The sequence below is a fragment of the Homo sapiens genome, chromosome 18 (genome assembly GCF_000001405.40).
Source record: "Homo sapiens chromosome 18, GRCh38.p14 Primary Assembly".
NCBI lineage: Eukaryota > Metazoa > Chordata > Mammalia > Primates > Hominidae > Homo > Homo sapiens.
This window is the reverse complement of record NC_000018.10, coordinates 46,032,934-46,052,487: the sequence shown is the minus strand read 5'-3', so window position 1 is coordinate 46,052,487 and position 19,554 is coordinate 46,032,934. Positions and strand designations below refer to the sequence as shown.

Here is a 19,554-nt window from a genome sequence, read left to right as displayed (position 1 = left end):
TGAAATGCATCCCAGCCTTTACAGGGTTGTGGTTAGGTCTTCAAAGTTATATGGTGTCATAAGCCTTCAATATTTGTTGTACTTTGCTTATCTGGCTCAACTAGAGGCTAGCTGATAGAGATCAAAGACCTTCAAAATTGTATTGTGGTAGGGATGTGACATAGTAGTCAGAAGCTGTTTGGAATTTCTATGGGTTGGGCCTAAACGTTGTACTTGGAGTGAAAAGGAACACAAGTCAGCTGGTGAAGCAATGTTGGACATTCCCCTGGGTTTGACCTAGTTCAAGTTCCTAGCTCCTAGTTCTATATTTGCTTTTGACAGTAGTGGCAGCACATTTGTTGTTTGACCTGGCTTGCTTTCTAGAGCTGCTGAGGTTTGGTGTCTCACTCTGTTCCTCTGGTCCCATATTTGCGGACCTAGTTCCAGTTTTGGGTATAGCCACTTCCTGGCAGTTGCCTGCCTCCCCGCTCCTGTCTTGGGCATGCCCAGGGGTTCTCAGGGAATGCCATGGATCAGGAGGAGACCCGTGGGGTCTGCATTTCACACATCTTGAACGCATCACTGATTTGCCCGGTAATATGATGCATCACTAATTCTACCCTGTGATATATGTGGTTGTTCACCTCTCAGGGATATCCAACAGAACTTCAACTTGTTTTTTATTAACTGGAAAAGTCTGAACATTAACTTCAGTAATACACTCAGAGGTGGTTGAATGTTTGTGAATTAAAACACCTACTTCAATTCTCAGGTTTTCTCTTTCAATGGAATTGTGAATTGAATTTCTCATGTCCCTGGGGGTTTGGGGCTTTTCTGGGATTTGGATCATGTTGATGTTTAGATGGGTAATGTCAAACATTAACCAACTTTCTGAACATTGAAATCTACTGACTCTTATGCCTTCTATGTTAAGTTTCCAGGAATAATGGTCTTTCAAAAAGCCATGACCTTAACATACATAATAGAAAATAATCTGTGTTGTTTTCAGTTTTATGTTCAATTTTTTTTTTTCTTGAGACAGAGTCTTGCTCTGTAGCCGGGGTGGAGTGCAGTGGCGCGATCTTGGCTCACTGCAACCTCCACTTCCCGGGCTCAAGTGATTCTCCCACCTCAGCCTCCCATGTAGCTGGGATTACAGGTGCCCACCATGCACCCAGCTAATTTTTGTATTTTTAGTAGGAACAGGGTTTCACCACATTGCCCAGGCTGGTCTTGAACTCCTGTCCTCAAGTGATCCTCCTGCCTTGGCCTCCCAAAGTGCTAGGATTACAGGTGTGAGCCACTGCACCCGGCCTTATGTTCAATTTTTGTTATGAGAATCCAAACAGGCCAGGTGCAGTGGCTCAGGCCTATAATCCCAGCTTTTTGGGCTGAGGCAGGTGGATCACCTGAGGTCAGGAGTACGAGACCAGCCTGTCCAACATAGTGAAAACCTGTCTCTACTAAAAATACAAAAAATTAGCCAGGTGTGGTGGTGGGTACCTGTAGTCCCAGCTACTTGGGAGGTTGAGGCAGGAGAATGGCTTGAACCTAGGAGGTGGAGGTTGCAGTGAGCCAAGATTGCACCACCGCACTCCAGCCTGAGCGACACAGTGAGACTCCATCTCAAAAAAAAAAAAAAGAATGCACACAGTTCAGAGATAGAGATTGTCACTACTACATGTATGGTGTGTCCCTTTCTTTGCAGTTACATATAGTGGACCTGTACATTAACAAGTATGAACTCATTTATAATGGGCTCATATATATAACTTTCATTTTTCTCCTGATATATTGTATCATTATGTTAATGTATACAATTCTGCTTTGTTCTAATATCTGTTCAGTTTTCCATCATGTGATTGTACATAATTTATTTAAATAATCTTTATTGCTGAATATTTAGGTTGCTTCCAATTCTTTGTTATTATCTTTTTTATTTTATTTTGTTTTTTTGAGAAAGGGTCTCATTCCACTGCCTAGGCTGGAGTGCGGTTGTGCAATCACAGCTCACCTCAGCCTCGACCTCTCACCTTAGCATCCCAGGTAGCTGGGACCACAGGTGCATGCCACCATGCCTGGCTAATTTTTAAAATTTTTTTGTAGAGATGGGGTTTTGCCATGTTTCTTAGGCTTGTCGCGAACTCCTGGGCTCAAGTGAACCGCCCACCTTGGCCTCCCATAGTGTTGGGTTTATGATTGTGAACCACTGCACTTGGCCAGTTTTTTGTCATTATGATGCTGCACTGAACATCCTTGTGTACAAATCTTTTCATGTTTGTGTAGTTATTTCTGTAGGATAAACTCCTCATCGTCAAAGGCTATACATATTTAAAATTTTAATGGATATTGCTAATTTCCTCCTCAAAAGATTATGCCAATGTGCATTTCTGCCAGTAGAATTTGACAGTATTTCCCTATAGTTCCTTGCCAATGTTAGAAATTTTCAACCTTTCCTAATTTGATGGATGAAAAATTATATCTCGTTTGTTTGCCTTTATTTGATTATTAATATTGATTCTCTTATTTAAAAATTGCTTACTGACCGTTTTTCTTTTTAGAGTGTTGCCTGTTTATATCTCTTACCCACTTGAGAAAATTGGTTGTTCTTTTTTTTTGTTTTGTTTTTTGAAACGGAGTCTTGCTCTGTCACCAGGCTGGAGTGCCGTGGCGTGATCTCAGCTCACTGCAACCTCCATCTCCCAGGTTCAAGTGATTCTCGTGCCTCAGCCTCCCAAGTAACTGGGATTACAGGCACGTGCCACCACGCCCAGCTAATTTTTGTATTTTTAGCAGAGACGGGGTTTCGCCATGTTGGCCAGGATGGTCTCAATCTCCTGACCTAGTGATCCGCCTGCTTCGGCCTCCCAAAGTGCTAGGATTACAGGCGTGAGTCACCTCACCCGGCCGGTTGTTCATTTTTATGGGATTGATTTTTAGAGCTCATTATGCACATTAATCTTTGATTAAATATTATTGCTCTTTTTTCCTCCTTATTTGTCATCTTTTTACATTGTTTGAATATCTTTTTTTTTTAAACTTTTATTTTAAGTTCAGGGATACAAGTGCAGATTTGTTACATAGGTAACAAACTTGTGTCATGGGGGTTTGTTGTACAGATTATTTAATCACCCAAGTATTAAGTCTAGTACCCATTAGTCATTTTTTCTGATCATCTCCCTCCTTCCACTCTCCACTCTCCAAAAGGCCCCAGTGTGTGGCTCCCCTCTATGTGTCCATGTGTTCTCATCATTTCGCTCCCACTTGTAAATGAGAACGTGTGGTATTTGGTTATCTGTTCTTGTGTTAGTTGGCTATTATGCTGAATTTTGATGTTTTTAATTAAAGAAATTTAGATTTACTCTTGTAAATATAGTAGAAAGAATTCCTATGTGCTCTTCACTTGGATTTCTCAAAAGTTCTGTCCCTTTCTCTCTCCTTCTCTCTCTCTCCACACACACACACACACACACACACACACACACACACACACACACACATGCTTTTTTTCTGAACCATTTGAAAGTAAAGAAGTAGGCATGATTTCCCTTTATCCACAAACATTTCAATGTGTATTTTCTAAATATAAGGATATTTTCTTATTACACAATCAATCACAATACAATGACAAATCAGGAAATAACATCAATATAATGCTATTAGCTAATATATAGACCCTACTCAAATTTCCCCAGTTGTTGCAATAATGTCCTTTCTAGCAAAAGAAGAAAACATTTCCCATTCAGGATTCCACATGGCATTTAGCTGCCACGTCTCTTCTGTCTGTTTTAACCTGGAATAGTTCCTCAGTCTCTCTGTGTCTTTATGAATTTAGCATTTTTGAAGAGTATGGGAGAGTTATTTTGTAGAATGTGCCCTGATTTGAGTTTGCCCGTTTCCTGATGATTAGATTCAGGCCATGTGTTTTGGGAGGAACAAGGCAGGAGTGATGCTGTGTCAATCTCAGTAACAGAAGGCACGTGATGCTTATTTGCCCTATTACTTGGTGGTGTTAACTTTGATCCTTTGGTCAAGGTGGTTGTGTTAGCTTTCTGTTGCTGCTGTAACAAATTACCACCGACTTATGCTTAAAACAAGATGATTTATTACTTATGGTTCTGGAGGTCATAAGTCCAAAGTGAGTTTCACTTGGCTAGAATTGAGTTGTCAGCAAGGCTGGCTCCTTCTGGAGGTTGTAGGGCAGAATCTCTTTTCTTGACTTTTCCAGATTCTAGAGATTGCCTGTACTCACTGCCTTGTGGCCCTTCCTCCATCTTCAAGCCACCTGTGTAGCATCTTAAAATCTCTTTCTCTGGCCTCTGTATTTGTCATTGACATCTCCTATCCTGACTCTATGACCCTCCTGGCTCTTTCTTAGGACCCTTGTAAATAGGTTGGATCCACTTGAATAATCCAGGGAAAATTTCCCATCCCAAGACATTAATGACATCTGCAATGTCCTTTTTGCTATGTGTGGAAGCATATTCACAGGTCCTAGGGACCAGGATGTGGACATCTTTAGGGGCTCTTATTTAGCCTAGCATAGTGTTATTTTCTAGGTTTCTCAATTGTGAAATTACTGATTCCCCCTTTATAATTAATAAGTATCTTCAGGGGAAATATTTTGAAACCATGTAAATATCCAGTTTCTTCTCAAATGAATACTAAATCCATTAGTCTTAACATCCATGGAAAATTCTTGCCTTAATCAATTATTGCTAAGACAGTTGCCAAGTGGTGATTAAAATTTTTTCCCAACTTTATTGAAGAACACTTACTCATGTTTTAAGTATATAATTTGATAGGTCTTTTTTTTTTGAGATGGAATTTCGCTCTTGTTGCCCAGGCTGGAGTGCAAAGGCGTGACTTCGGCTCACCACAACCTCTGTTTCCCACGTTCAAGCGATTCTCCTGCCTCAGGCACATTCTCGCTCTGTTGTCCAGACTGGAGTGCAGTGGCGTGATCTCAGCTCACCACAACCTCTGCCTCCCGAGTTTAAGCGATTCTCCTGCCTCAGCCTCCTGAGTAGCTACAGGCTACAGCACTCCTGAGTACTGCAGGCGCGTGCCACCATGCCTGGCTAATTTTTGCATTTGTAGTAGAGACGAGGTTTCACTGTGCTGGCCAAGCTGGTCTCGAACTCCTGACCTTATGATCTGCCCGCCTTGGCCTCCCGAACTGCTGAGATTACAGGTATGAGCCACCGCACCTAACCCTGGACATAATTATTAATATTAATTAATAATAATCCATATATGCAGAATTTGATCCGTTTGGTTGTACCTCATAGAGTGGTAAGTAAACAGGAAAGAAAGATCAAGGTTGACAGCATAGGGAGGTAACATGAACTTCATAGTCTTTATCCCAAGTCTGCTGTTTTATGGCTCTTAATAAATAACTGAGAGATTTGGATAATATTGTTAGTTGAGAATTAAAATTTTTCATAGTGGTTGGAAGCAGTGACAAGGAAAGCGAATAAGGAAAGCTTCCTAGTGCCTTGTTTCCTCCACCTGTAAAACATAGAAAGAGCTTCTGTCTCACTGTGTTTGTGGAACATGTTGTGGTTCTTTAATGCAAAGTGCAGCGCACTTATGCACCCTGTGCCCAGGCACCAAACTGCAGCCTTTGTATGAGATGCAAAGTAACTGGCCTCCTCCCTGTTCTAGTGGGGCTCTCTGGGCTTCCAAAAGCCATCATTGCCAACTTGCATGTTTTACTCAAGATTGGAGGTTTTTTAAACAATGAAATGCAAACCATGGAGGGTCTTCTCTGGCCTCTTCTTTGCACTTCTGACAGTCATTCTCTCACCTCCCCATTCTCTAGTGTTCTTTATTTTCACAGGCCTGCATCCTGCTTTCTTCTTCTTATAAGCTCCTCTAGGCAGGAACCATGATGGTTCTTTTAGCCTTTTATATTTTGTATGGCCACAATTGTCAAACTGCATTCCAAGTCACTTGGAAGGTGTATAGAAGGGTAGAGACTGCCATGCCCCACTCCAGGTTCAGAATTAGCAGGGCTGGGGTGGGACTGAGGGGTCTGCATGTTTAACAAGCTGCCTGAGTGATTCTAGCCTGCTGATCCCTGGAGCCCATGTCTATAGAGGCTGTATAGCAGACATCATGAGAGGAACGGGCTGGAGATGCAGCACAGAACTAGATGTGCGGATGCTCAGCAGCGGGACCCGTAACCCTGTTGGTGGCTTTGGAGACTGCGGGTGCTGTTTGCTTCCCCTCTGCTCCTTACGCTTCTGCCCAGAGGCCATAGGAGGATAGAAGAGGTGAAAAGGAGCATAGAAATAAGTTCTCAGAGGCCCTGCAGCATGGAATGAGTAGAGGCTTTTCCCCCCACCAAGTTTATGCAGTTATTCCAGAGCCATTTGTTGGAAAGATTACCATTTTCCCATTGAATAGCTTTGGCAACTTTGTTGAAAGTCAGTTGACCATATATAAGTGAGTCTATTTCTGCATTCTATTCTGTTCTGTTGGTCTGTTTGTCTATCCTCAGAAAGGTACATACTGTTTCAATTACCGTAGCTTCAAAAGAAGTTGGTTTTTTGTTGTTGTTGAAGCAGGCGCTTGCTCTGTCATCCAGGTTGGAGTGCAGTGATGCAAAGCTCACTACAGCCTCAACCTCCTGGGCTCAAGTGAGTCTCCTTCTTCAGCCTCCTGAGGAGCTGGGACTACAGGTGTGGGTGTGCACCACCATGCCTGGGTCAAAAAAAGTTTCAAAGTCAGGTGGTATGAGTCCTCCAACTTTGTTTTTCTTTAAAAAAATGTTTTTTTCTTTTGTCTATTCTAGGCCCTTGGTAATTATTTATTTATTTATTTATTTATTTACTTTATTATTGTTATACTTTAAGTTTTAGGGTACATGTGCACAATGTGCAGGTTAGTTACATATGTATACATGTGACATGCTGGTGTGCTGCACCTATTAACTCATCATTTAGCATTAGGTATATCTCCTAAAGCTATCCCTTCCCCCTCCCCCTACCCCACAACAGTCCCCAGAGTGTGATGTTCCCCCTCCTGTGTCCATGTGTTCTCATTGTTCAATTCCCACCTGTGAGTGACAATATGTGGTGTTTGGTTTTTTGTTCTTACGATAGTTTACTGAGAATGATGATTTCCAATTTCATCCATGTTCCTACAAAGAACGTGAACTCATCATTTTTTATGGCAGCATAGTATTCCATGGTGTATATGTGCCACATTTTCTTAATCCAGTCTGTCATTGTTGGACATTTGGGTTGGTTCCAAGTCTTTGCTATTGTGAATAGTGCCGCAATAAACATACGTGTGCATGTGTCTTTATAGCAGCATGATTTATATAGTCCTTTGGGTATATACCCAGTAATGGGATGGCTGGGTCAAATGGTATTTCTAGTTCTAGATCCCTGAGGAATCGCCACACTGACTTCCACAAGGGTTGAACTAGTTTACAGTCCCACCAACAGTGTAAAAATGTTCCTATTTCTCCACATCCTCTCCAACACCTGTTGTTTCCTGACTTTTTAAAGATTGCCATTCTAACTGGTGTGAGATGGTATCTCATTGTGGTTTTGATTTGCATTTCTCTGATGGCCAGTGATGGTGAGCATTTTTTCATGTGTTTTTTGGCTGCATAAATGCCTTCTTTTGAGAAGTATCTGTTCATGTCCTTCACCCACTTTTTGATGGGGTTGTTTGTTTTTTTCTTGTAAATTTGTTTGAGTTCATTGTAGATTCTGGATATTAGCCCTTTGTCAGATGGGTAGGTTGCGAAAATTTTCTCCCATTTTGTAGGTTGCCTGTTCACTCTGATGGTAGTTTCTTTTGCTGTGCAGAAGCTCTTTAGTTGAATTAGATCCCATTTGTCAATTTTGGCTTTTGTTGCCATTGTTTTTAGTGTTTTAGACATGAAGTCCTTGCCCATGCCTATGTCCTGAATGGTAATGCCTAGGTTTTCTTCTAGGGTTTTTATGGTTTTAGGTCTGATGTTTAAGTCTTTAATCCATCTTGAATTAATTTTTGTATAAGGTGTAAGGAAGGGATCCAGTTTCACCTTTCTACATATGGCTAGCCAGTTTTCCCAGCACCATTTATTAAATAGGGAATCCTTTCCCCATTGCTTGTTTTTCTCAGGTTTGTCAAAGATCAGATAGTTGTAGATATGCAGTGTTATTTCTGAGGGCTCTGTTCTGTTCCGTTGATCTATAACTGTTTTGGTACCAGTACCATGCTGTTTTGGTTACTGTAGCCTTGTAGTATAGTTTGAAGTCAGGTAGCGTGATGCCTCCAGCTTTGTTCTTTTGGCTTAGGATTGACTTGGTGATGCAGACTCTTTTTTGTTTCCATGTGAACTTTAAAGTAATTCTTTATAAATTTTAGGTCTGACTTGCAAATTTCTACAGAAAAGACTTTCAGGATTTTGATGGGATTGTTTTGGATCTATAGATCAATTTGGGGAAATTGATATTTTAACAATATTCACTCCTTCAATCCACAAACATGGTATATACCTACTTTTATTTAGGTCTTCTTCCATTTCTTTTAGCTGTACCTTTTGTAATTTTCAGTGAAGAAATCTTGCAAAACTTCTTGTGTTATCCCTGTATAGTTTATCTTTTTAATGCTAATATAAATAAATGTTTACATTTTTTTCTTTCCTTTTTTTCCACCGGTATATAGAAATACAATAGATTTTTGTATATTGACCTTGTGTCCTGCAACTTTGTTAAACTGACTAGTTTTAGTAACTTTTTTGTAAACTTCTTAGAATTTTCTATGTCCATAATCATGTTGTCTACAAATAAGGCAGTTTTACTTTTTCCTTTCCAATATGTATGTTCTTTATTTCTTTTTCTTGCCTAGCACTGGCTAGGACATTCAGTGTGTTGAATAGAAGTAGTGAGAGCAGACATCGTTGCCTTGTTCCTGATCTTAGGAAGGAAGTATTCTGTGTTTCACCTTAAATAGGCTGTTAGCTGAGGCTTTTTGTAGATACTATTTGTCAGATTGAGGACATTCCATTCTCTTAATGATTTGTTGATTTTCTATTGTGAGGTGGTATTGAAGTCTTTCAAATCCTTTTTCTGCGTTGAGATTCCTCTTTTCTTTTCTTTTTTTTTTTCATTTTGAGACAGGGGCTCACTCTGTCACCCACGCTGGAGTGCACTGGCATGAACGTGGCTCACTGCAGCCTCGATCTCCCAGGCTCAATCAATCCTTCCGCCTTAGCCTCCCAAGTAGCTGGGACTACAGGCACACCACCATACTTGGCTTTTTTTTTTTTTTTTTTTTTTAAGGAGAGGTGAGGTTTCGCTATGTTGCCCAGGCTGGTCTTGAACTTCTGAGCTCAAGCGATCCTCCCGCCTCGGCCTCCCAAAGTGCTGGGATTACAGGCATGAGCCACCACACCTGGCCCCTTTTTCTTAATTAAGGATGAGGAAACTCTTTGAGTGGGACTGCACGGGTGGAACTAGGCCAGAGTTTCCTGGAAACACAAACCAAAACCACAGACCTCCCAGCTGCCAGCCTTTAAAAAACCCAGAATTGCTGCTTCAGAGGAGTGGCTGGACTACAGAGGCAACCAAGAAAGGAAATACCCAGGAGAAAACAAAGAGTGCTGAAGGCCAAGTTAAAGTGGTGGAGGACTTGTCTGGAAACTCCTGTGTATGTTACTCAGAGAACACAGGTGGTAAGTTGACTGACAAAAATAAGAATAGGAGGGCCAAGAAAAAGGGCTGCACGATGCACCAAGACATCCTCCAGTGTCTTTCTCTGGGAAGGGCAAAGACTCCTGTCTACAAACCGGTTTTGACACTGACCATTTGGTACCCATTCATTCATCACTCAGGAATCTGTTTTCATTGTTCTCTTCTAATGCATCTGGCAGCAAGCACAATAGGCCTTTTCATTCTCCAGAATTTTACTGTAGGCCTTTGATGTGAATAATAAGATTTTTTGGGAGGGGATGCAGGGGTAGTTCAAAACTTGAAAGAAGCTGCAAGCACTTGCAGTGGAGTGGGGACAGAAAGGTATTCACAGGCATAATAGCAAACAAATTCAGATGCTGGGGACTCTGAGAACCTAGAGAAGGGAGAATTGGGGCTACTCAGAGAAGACTTCGGGAAAACCTGGGAATTGAGGGGCTAGATCTGGATTCAGGAGAGGATAATGTTAGCATCATCTTAGAGCTGCTGCTGAGAGCTTCATTTCAGGGGCAGTTAGATGCCTTCCTGGCTAAGACAGAGGGGTATGTATGGAGGAGGCCAGTGGACAAATGAGGCTTTGGTGGAAGCTGTTTTTTGGGCTTTCTAAGGTCTAAATTTGTGCTCAAACAACTGTCACAAAGCATAGAATTAAACATTTCTAACTTAGATTCGTAACTTGTAAAAGTTTTGATGATTTTATAGGTCCATTTGAAAAGTGCAAGGTGAAATGGCTTGTTAGGGTGCCAAGTTGAAATCAGCCCCAGGCCTGGGTCCTGCTGGGTCTTTCTGGGACTGCTGTCTGCTCAACTAGGCCATCATAAGTGGCAGCAAATGGAAGAGAGAAATTCTGCTTCTCCAGTGTCCAGGGCTGGGTAGAGAGGTATCTTTAGAAACCCCTTATCCCATACAGAGCTACACTTCCTTCTGCAAACTGGCGCTGGGAAGAGTTGGTCTGCTTTGGCTGGGATGGCGTGGATGAGTTCAAAACTCCCCAGGGCACATCCAGAGGCCAGCTAACCAACCTCTTAGGGACTATAGTCTGAATCAGACAACCCATTGTATGCATTCAGGGGTAGAAAGGAGGGAACCAGCCTCCTTAGGGGACACTTTGGAGTGTTATTTAGTGGACTGATTTGTTGGTTTGGGGACTTGTTGGCTTGATTTTTAAAATGTACTGCATCTGAGGCTACTGGTTTGGGGGACTTAGCCTGGTCCCTCCAACCTTGGAGAGCACAGTAGAATAAAATATAAATAAACTGCTAATTTAAAAATTTGGCCAGGCATGGTGGCTCACGCCTGGCACTTTGGGAGGCCAAGGTGGGCAGATTGCTTGAGGTCAGGAGTTCGAGACCAGACTGGGCAACATGGCGAGACCCTCACCTTTACTAAAAATACAAAAAATAGCTGGGTATGGTGGCATGTCCCTGTAGTCCCAGCTACTCAGGAGGCTGAGGCAGGAGGATCACTTGAGCCCAGGAGGTGGGGTTGCAGTGAGCCAAGATCGTGCCACTGCACTCTAGCCTGGGTGACAGAGTGAGACCCTGTATCAAAACAGAACAAAACAAAACATAACATATATATATATTCCTTCTCCCCTAATTGGGGCCAGTGACCACGGAGAGCATGTTTCATGCTTCCCAGTGGACAGACAGCCCCATTCTCCCACTCCTGAATCCTGGTTCCTGGCTTCTGGCTCAGAGCTGCTTGTCTTTTGTAGAGATACCCTTGACCCTCAATAGCGCTAACTGGTGGTAGGAAGAGCTATCAGGGTCAAGTTCAGTGGCAAGTTTAAGGACAGAGTAAAAATTTTATAGCACCAGGTTACATGGTCCTGTAGCGTGAGTCAGTTTCCATCCGGCAGTATGAGGAAGCACATGACAGAAGGCTGGAGTGGGCGCCCAGCTCCTTCTCCCTCTCCTGGCCTGAATTTGGGCTTCAGTAGAGGATCCATAGAGGGACCTCAGCCTAGCCAGCTCCCTCATCCACGTGCCTGTGATTTGTCTGTCACTTCCTGTTTTGTGGCCCTTCAGTCTCATCAATTAAAAAACTCTTTCACACTACATGTGTTCTTACTTCTTCCATTGTTCTTCTTAGCTACCTGTGTCTTGGAGGTAAAGTGTTACCCTACTGAACTTGGGTCTGCTCACTGGGCACAGCAAAGCCCAACACTGACACAAATGTTTGCAGTTACAGAAAGAAAGGCATTTATTGCAGGGCACCAAGCAAGGAAAAGGGGCATGATGGCTTACAAGCAAGGGTTTTTAAAGGCAGGAATGAGGGGGTTTCCAAAGTGAGTTAGGGGCTTAGGAATTTGTGGAACTTCCTTATCCATTTTCTGGTTCCAGTCTGTCGAAGGTCAACATGACTGTGATCAGCATTTGTTATCAGGTGAGAGTCCTGGTTTCTGAAAAACAACTCAAGGATGTATGTAAAGATGTTATCTTTGTTTCTATAGGGAACCAAACATCTTGTGACCCTGACTTACTTGGGTGGCTTGGTTGGTGGATTATTCATTCACATCCCTAATTTCTGGTTGCAGGGCTAGCTAGATACCTGGAATTTTCCTTGAAGGAACTGAAACATGTTCTTTCATCTCCAGGGTGGGGGTGGAGAAGCCTGACAGGCTCCTAAGTGGGTCCCTGCGCCATCTCAAAGTGAGTCAGCAACGTTCCGTGGCCAGCTTCCCACCTCTTTTGTCTTATCTTCTCTCCGGCCTTGGGGGCTGCCTTCTGTTCCTGGTCTGATGCCATGTTGTCTTTCCCCCAGAGTGCAGACATCCTCAGCACCATCGGCTATGACAACATTATCCAACATCTGAACAATGGCCGCAAGAACTGCAAAGAGTTTGAAGACTTTCTAAAAGAAAGGTACGATGATGCTCTGTCCTCTCTGAAGAGGGTGGGCCAAGATGTCTCCACACAGACAAGGAACAATTTCCTTTTTTTCATTTGTGTTTAATGGTTCTGAAGACCCTCTCTCTGCTCTAGGTTATGGAATGATACCTGAGAAGTACATGATACTTCTGTCCTAAAGTTCTTAGAAACAAGTTTGACACATAAGATTTATGATGAAACTGCGAACGAATTATAGTAAGAAAAGAAATACACTTAGTACTGTGGTACAAATAACATTGAAAGACCCCATGATGTAGCTTTTAGACTGCTGAGGAAGAGACTGCTGAGGATTGGCAAAGAAGGAAAGGAGAGGGAAGGAAAAAGGAAGGAGAGAGGGAGGGAGGGAAAGAAAGAAGGAAATAAAATAGAGGACGGGGTGGCTTCATGGAGGAGTAGGTCCTTGTGGTGGCCCTCAGAGGGTGAGGTGGATTTGACAGGTGAAGAAGTACCTGGATATCTGGGAGAACAGCAAGCTTGAGGTGGGAATCAGATGGCCCACGTGGTTAGAGGGAGGCAGAGTGCAGCTCAGAGACCAGGAGGATGAGGAGCTGTGGGAAAGCTGTGAAGCCGATCATGATGCTCCTGGGGGTGGCAGGGCATGGTAGTCCATGGGGAACTGGCATGGTTTAGAGGATTTTCTTTTCTTCTGTTTAAAAATGGATAAGATTTTTAAAAAAACAAAACTTAGTTTTGTGGAAACTTATTGATCTAGAATATTCCATTTTACAGAGGTTCTGGATGAAAGAATATGTTAAGAGGATTTGGGGCCAAAGATCAGGATCCTTGCCAAGATTCAAATTAATGAACAGGTTCTATTTGTAAGGCAGTAAGTGAAAGGCTCAGAACCCAGAGATACAGACATCAAAGCATTTTCGGTCAACTCTCTCACTTTCTACTCAAGAGAAAATTAGGTAACGATCAAACTTACTCACACTTTGCATTTTTAGTAGAGATGGGGTTTCTCCATGTTGGTCAGGCTGGTCTCAAACTCTCGACCTCAGGTGATCTGCCTGCCTCGGCCTCCCAAAGTTCTGGGATTACAGGTGTGAGCCACCACGCCCTGCCTCTACATGTAAATTATGACAGCAACCAAGGGTTGCCCAGCCCTTGGGTGGTGAGGCCTGTCTCCTTGAGCCATTCCAAAGGTCTGGAGGACCTGGAGGCCTGAGGACGGGTGAACCAAGAGAGGCTCGGCTACTGTCAGCGCTGTGGAGCTGGCTGCTGCTCCTCCTCCTTTAAGGGAGCAGTTCCCTTCTTTTCTACCCAAGATGGTTGACAGTGTTGACACCCAGTTAAAAAGTGTGCCTTTCTTTTTACAAACACTGGCAGTGGGCTTCCTCCTTCCTTCAACAGTGCTAGGACAAAGAGTTTCATGAGCATGAAGGATCTAGAGATTGCAGAAGACTGCTTTTTTCTGTTCCTCCCCCAGTTATGGCTTCTATAAATTTCCTCCTGGGAATGAAATGGCCTTGGAATACATCTGCAGAGGAAGGAAGTGTCTGTCGGCTCAGGACCCCAGGCACTGACTGCCTGGGGGGCCATCCAAGGGTCCCCTGATACAGTGGGGTTTGTCTAAATCAGTGGCTTCCATACTTTTTTGAATGTGACCCTCAAAAAAAATGTATTTTACACAGCCACCCAGTACACACATGCATAAATAAAACAATGAAACAGGACTACCCTGTTAATTTATCCAATAGTATTTAATTTAAAAATGCTAGTCTTCCAGCTATTCAGGAGGCTGAGGTCGGGGGATCACTTAGCCCAGGAGTTCAAGGTTGCAGTGAGCTCTGATTGCACCACTGCCCTCTAGCCTGGGTGACAGAGTGAGATCCTGTCTTTCAAAAAAAAATTGCTGGTCATAATCCACTGAATTGATTTATGGCTCACAAATGGGTCGTGACCCACAGTTGAAAAACGCTAGTCCAAATAGGATCCCAAAGCTAAGATCTCGCTTTTAAAAACGATTCACAAAAATACATAAGAGTAGGAAATAAATGGAGAATAAAAATTGTTGATTATTTATATTGTATTTCTAGTATATGTTCTCTTTTCTCCCATGGGTTTTATAGCAAAAAGAAGTCAGTCTTGTGTTTTCCAATTCTGGGGAAGAATCTGCAGGCATTAGATCAGAGTGTCAGATGGGCATGCCCTGGGCGTGGAGATGCAGCCCCTGAGCGTGTGGCCTGCTTGGCTTTGGGCCTCTGTTCCTGGTGGCACGCTTGCAGGAAGGAAGCTGCTGTCATTGAGCCTGTGTGTTTGTTCCTCCAATGTGTCTTGTTCAAGGGTAATTCATGTGCAGAAGGACAGTCCAGGCTTGGGGATCCAGCTTTCCTCTTGTTCGGGTGGGTGCAGGATGCTTGTGGGAACTGGGACTAAGTTGGCTGCATTTGTGCCATCATCTAATATGACTGAAACATCCTCCTTGAGTCTTAAACATTATTTGACCGAGCTGTCATAAATTACATGTAGAGGCAGGGCGTGGTGGCTCACACCTGTAATCCCAGAACTTTGGGAGGCCGAGGCAGGCAGATCACCTGAGGTCGAGAGTTTGAGACCAGCCTGACCAACATGGAGAAACCCCATCTCTACTAAAAATGCAAAATTAGCTGGGCATGGTGTAGCTGTAATCCCAGCTACTCGGGAGGCTGAGGCAGGAGAATTACTTGAACCCGGGAGGCGGATGTTGCAGTGAGCTGAGATCTCGCCATTGCACTCCAGCCTGGGCAACAAGAGTGAAACTCCGTCTCAAAACAAAAACAAAAAACAAACAAACAAAAATTACATGTACAACTCTGGGATATTTGTGGTTCTTAGAGACAAGAGGCAAACACACACAAATACAGGGGCAAAGATAACAGACTATTGTATGTAATAATTATTTTTGAACAACCACCTCTTGTCCAATGTTATACCTTATTTATTATTTTGAGTTCATCAAGTTTAATACACATACATTTATACCACTTTTACATGGTACATGCTAAACATGCCCTATATCTAATGGGGTGCTTTTAAGACTTTCCAGAAGTGTCAGAGTCCTACCATGGGCCTCTTGAATTTCTGTCAGTTTAACCTGCCCAGAAAGTGGCAAGGGGAAGAGGGAGATGCTATACTTCCTGGTGAGCTCCCCAGCCCTGCTCTTCCCTGGATGGAACCCAGCACTGCACCCCTCCATGCCACATTTTACCTCCATTACCGAAACTAGGAAATATCCTTTTCCTTGGTCGTACCCAGGCAGATTGCAGTAAATTCATCTGCCCTCATGTGGGGTTGGACAGAACAATCACCCCAGTGCAAGGAGCCGCTCCGTGTGCTGCTCTGGAAGGGCAGGGAGGCTGCCTTTCTTGCCACCCACAGGGCAGATTCTTGCATCCAGGGTAGACATATAAAAATAAGGTTAGCTCAGAGGGTAGCTAGAGGTGGTTAAATGAGATTATATAATAGCTGATGTTTATTGAAGGCTTGCTAGATACATAGGGCAGATTCCAAGGCCCAGCTTTCCTAGGTTTCAAACCATATTACTCCTTATTAGCTGTCTGACCTTAGGCAAATGCCATAATCTCTCTGAACCTCAGTTTCTTCAATTGTAACATAAGGATGAGAACAGTTATTGTAACAACTAATTGTTACAATAATAATTAATAATTGTTAACAATTAATTGTTACAATAATTGTTTATAACTACTACATTGTTACAATAATTGTTCATAACTACTACAATTAATTGTTACAATCAATATTATAACACATTAACAATTAATATTATAATATTAATTAATATTAATTAAATAAAATGATATTAATTAAATTAATTAATACAGATAATATATAATAATTAAATAATACTGTAAGTAACAAAACACAGTAACAAACACTCCATCAGTAAATTGTAAATTTATCTAGTTTACCCTTCTGTCAGCTGGAAAAGCACAACAATAATAGAGGTGATGCTGGCAACCACAGCCAACATCTGAATAGCTACATAATATAACAACAACATTGAGGCTTACACATCCCTTTGGCACTTATGTTGGCTGCATGAGGTTTCTTGGCACAGAAGTGTAGCTTTGTAGATGAGGTTTAAGTAATTTACCAGGGGAATCTAGAAAGTGACAGAACCCAGAATGGCTCCAGGGGCTGGTGAGGATGGGGGTCTCATACAACCCCTGTGTTTATGACTCATCAACACTGGCAAAAAGGCTGGTGGCTATCTAGGGAGATGGGCTACTTCCCAGCACAGACACACTCTCCCTTTCTTTACTGTCTGTTTATACAATCTCACTCATTATACCCATTCTCTCTATTTCAGCCAGATGGGTTTATTGGTGAGCACGCTTTGGATGTCTCTGCCTGTACGTCTTTACTTCAGTATTTCCCCACCTAGAAAGTCCTCCTTTTTCCCTGATGCCTAAGTAAATTCTCCCCATCCTTCCAAGTCCAGGTCAAATTTTCCTCTTCTTTTATTTCTCTCTCTCTCTCTTTTCTTTTTTTTTTTTTAAGACAGAGTCTCACTCTGTCATCCAGGCTAGAGTACAGTGGTGCGATCTCAGCTCACTTCAACCTCCGTCTCCCGGGTTCAGACAATTCTCACACCTAAGCCTCCCGAGTAGCTGGGATTACAGGCATGTACCACCACCCCAGCTAATTTTTGTAATTTTAGTAAAGATGGGGTTTTTCCTGGCCACAGGCTGGTCTTGAACTCTTGGTCTCAAGTGATCCAGCCCACCTCAGCCTCCCAAGGTGCTGGGATTACAGGTGTGAGCCACCATGCCCGACCTTATTTCTCTTTAAAGGAAACATTCTACATAGGACTTTAGTCTGAAGTCTTTCAGCTGGTTAACAATTGAAATGAAGCCATCTTGTCACTGGTAGCCCAAGCCCATGGACTCTCCCACCCTCAGATCCCCAGATGTGGCGAAATATTATATAATGAGCTCCTGATATGAGCAGAAAATGAGAACTATAAAAATAGGGTTAATCATACCTTAGAGGGTAGCTAGAGATGATTAAATGAGATTATATTAATAGCTGCTGTTTATTGAAGGCTTACTCTATGCAAGCTACAGTGTGTTTTGTATATATTATTTAATTCTCATAAAAACTCTGTATGGTAAGTTTTCTCATCCTTATGTTATAATTGAAGAAATTGAGGTTCAGAGAGGCTATGGAACTTGCCTAAGTTCAGACAGCTAATAAGCGGTAGATACGGTTTCAAACCTAGAAAATTTGGGCCCTGGAATCTGCTATTAACCAGTACACTGTGCCCAGTACAGTAGCTGGTACACAATATATAGTGGGTAAATGGTACCCACTGATCTTAGGCAAGTTCCACAACCATTACTAATATTGTTATATTAAGTGTAGAAGGCAAGTAAGGAATATATCATTGGCTTCCTTTTACAGATAAGAACACTGAAGTTTAGTGGGCTTTAAATGACTTGCCCAAGATTACAATATGAGTAAGTAGTAAAGCTGGGATTCCTGCTGACTTCCTGTCTGATGGTTTTTCCACTTTACTTAATGGTCTCTTGAGAAAGTTGGGTGTATTCTCCGAAGAAGAACAGCAACTTGGCAGCCAAGTCAGTTCTCTTAATTGTGTGCTGCAATAGGATCCTGAGTAGGGAGGAGGGAAGCATGCTTGTGGAACACCTTTATGCCCAGAATTCTTTACCATTTGTAGATTAGCAGCTATACCTATACTCTAGGGGATCCACAGCCCCGGTGCCTCAGGACTCTGTACTCTTCCCCATAAGCTCCTGTACGTCCCATGGTCAACCTGCCCTGGCTACAGCTCTGTTTCCGGGACCCTCACTGTGGTCGGCTATGTCTCAGGACAGCCTTAAGAAGGACAGATTGCCAGGGTGGGAATGACAGATTCCCTTCGTGCATTAGCTGGTCAAGTTGTCAAGCCATTATGTACCATATTAGTTTTTTAGGACTGTTGGGACAAATTGCCTCTAACTGAATGGCTTTAAATAACAGAATTTATTCTCTCACAAGTCCATAGGCCAGAAGTCCCAAATCAAGATGTTGGCAGAATCATGCTGTCTTGAAGACTTTATTGGAGAAGGTGTCCCATTCCTTTCTCTTGGTTTTTGGTGTCATCAGCAATCCTTGGCATGTCCTGGCTTGCAGCTGTGTAACTCCCATCTCTTCCTCTATCATCCTGTGGTGTTGTTCCCCTGTGTCTTCACATTGTCTTTTTTTTTTTTTTTTTTCGAGATGGAGTCTCACTCTGTCCCCCAGGCTGGAGTTCAGTGGCATGATCTCAGCTCACTGCAACCTCCACCTCCCAGGTTCAAGCGATTCTCCTGCCTCAGCCTCCTAAGTACCTGGGACTACAGACGTGCACCACTACACCCAGCTAATTTTTGTACTTTTAGTAGAGACCGGGTTTCACCATGTTGACCAGGCTGGTCTTGAACTCCTCACCTCAGCTGATCCACCTGCCTTGGCCTCCCAAAGTGCTGGGATTATAGGTGTGAGCTACCATGCCCAGCCCACATTGTCTTCTTATAAGGACACTAGTCATGTTGGATTAAGAGGCCACCCTACTCCAGTATGACCTTATCTCAACAATTACGTCTGCAATGACCCTATTTCCAAATAAGGTCACAGTCTAAGATGCTGGGGGTTGAGACTGCAACCTATTTTGCGGGAGGAACACCTGTGCCCAAAAGAATGTACTGGAAGCTGAGAGCATCATGGGAAATAGAGTATCGGGATGGGAGTTTAGACACCTGGGTGGCCTTCTAATCCTGGCTTCCTCACTGGCCAGTGCTGATATTATTCAAGGCCCTAGACCTTTCTAGGTTCCAGTTTCGTTAGCCATAAAATTTGGATTGTATGAGATGTTCTGTGAGAGCCCCTTGGATCTAATAACATGGGTCTTCCCAAGGAACTTATCATTCAGTTGAGGTGCTGTGAATGGCATATACAGTAAAATTGAGCAAAATATTTAAGTGTTAGGTTTTATGGCAAAA

At 42.8% G+C, this 19,554-nt stretch overlaps 1 protein-coding gene across 1 annotated transcript in view; it reads left to right on the top strand.

Annotated features, from left to right (window-relative positions):
* PSTPIP2 (proline-serine-threonine phosphatase interacting protein 2) overlaps window positions 1-19,554 on the top strand; it is an 88,725-nt gene that overhangs the window by 19,773 nt on the left and 49,398 nt on the right. The window contains exon 2 of the mRNA NM_024430.4: window positions 12,441-12,541. Coding sequence (NP_077748.3) covers window positions 12,441-12,541 — 101 coding nt within the window. The remainder of the gene's footprint in view (window positions 1-12,440; window positions 12,542-19,554) is intronic.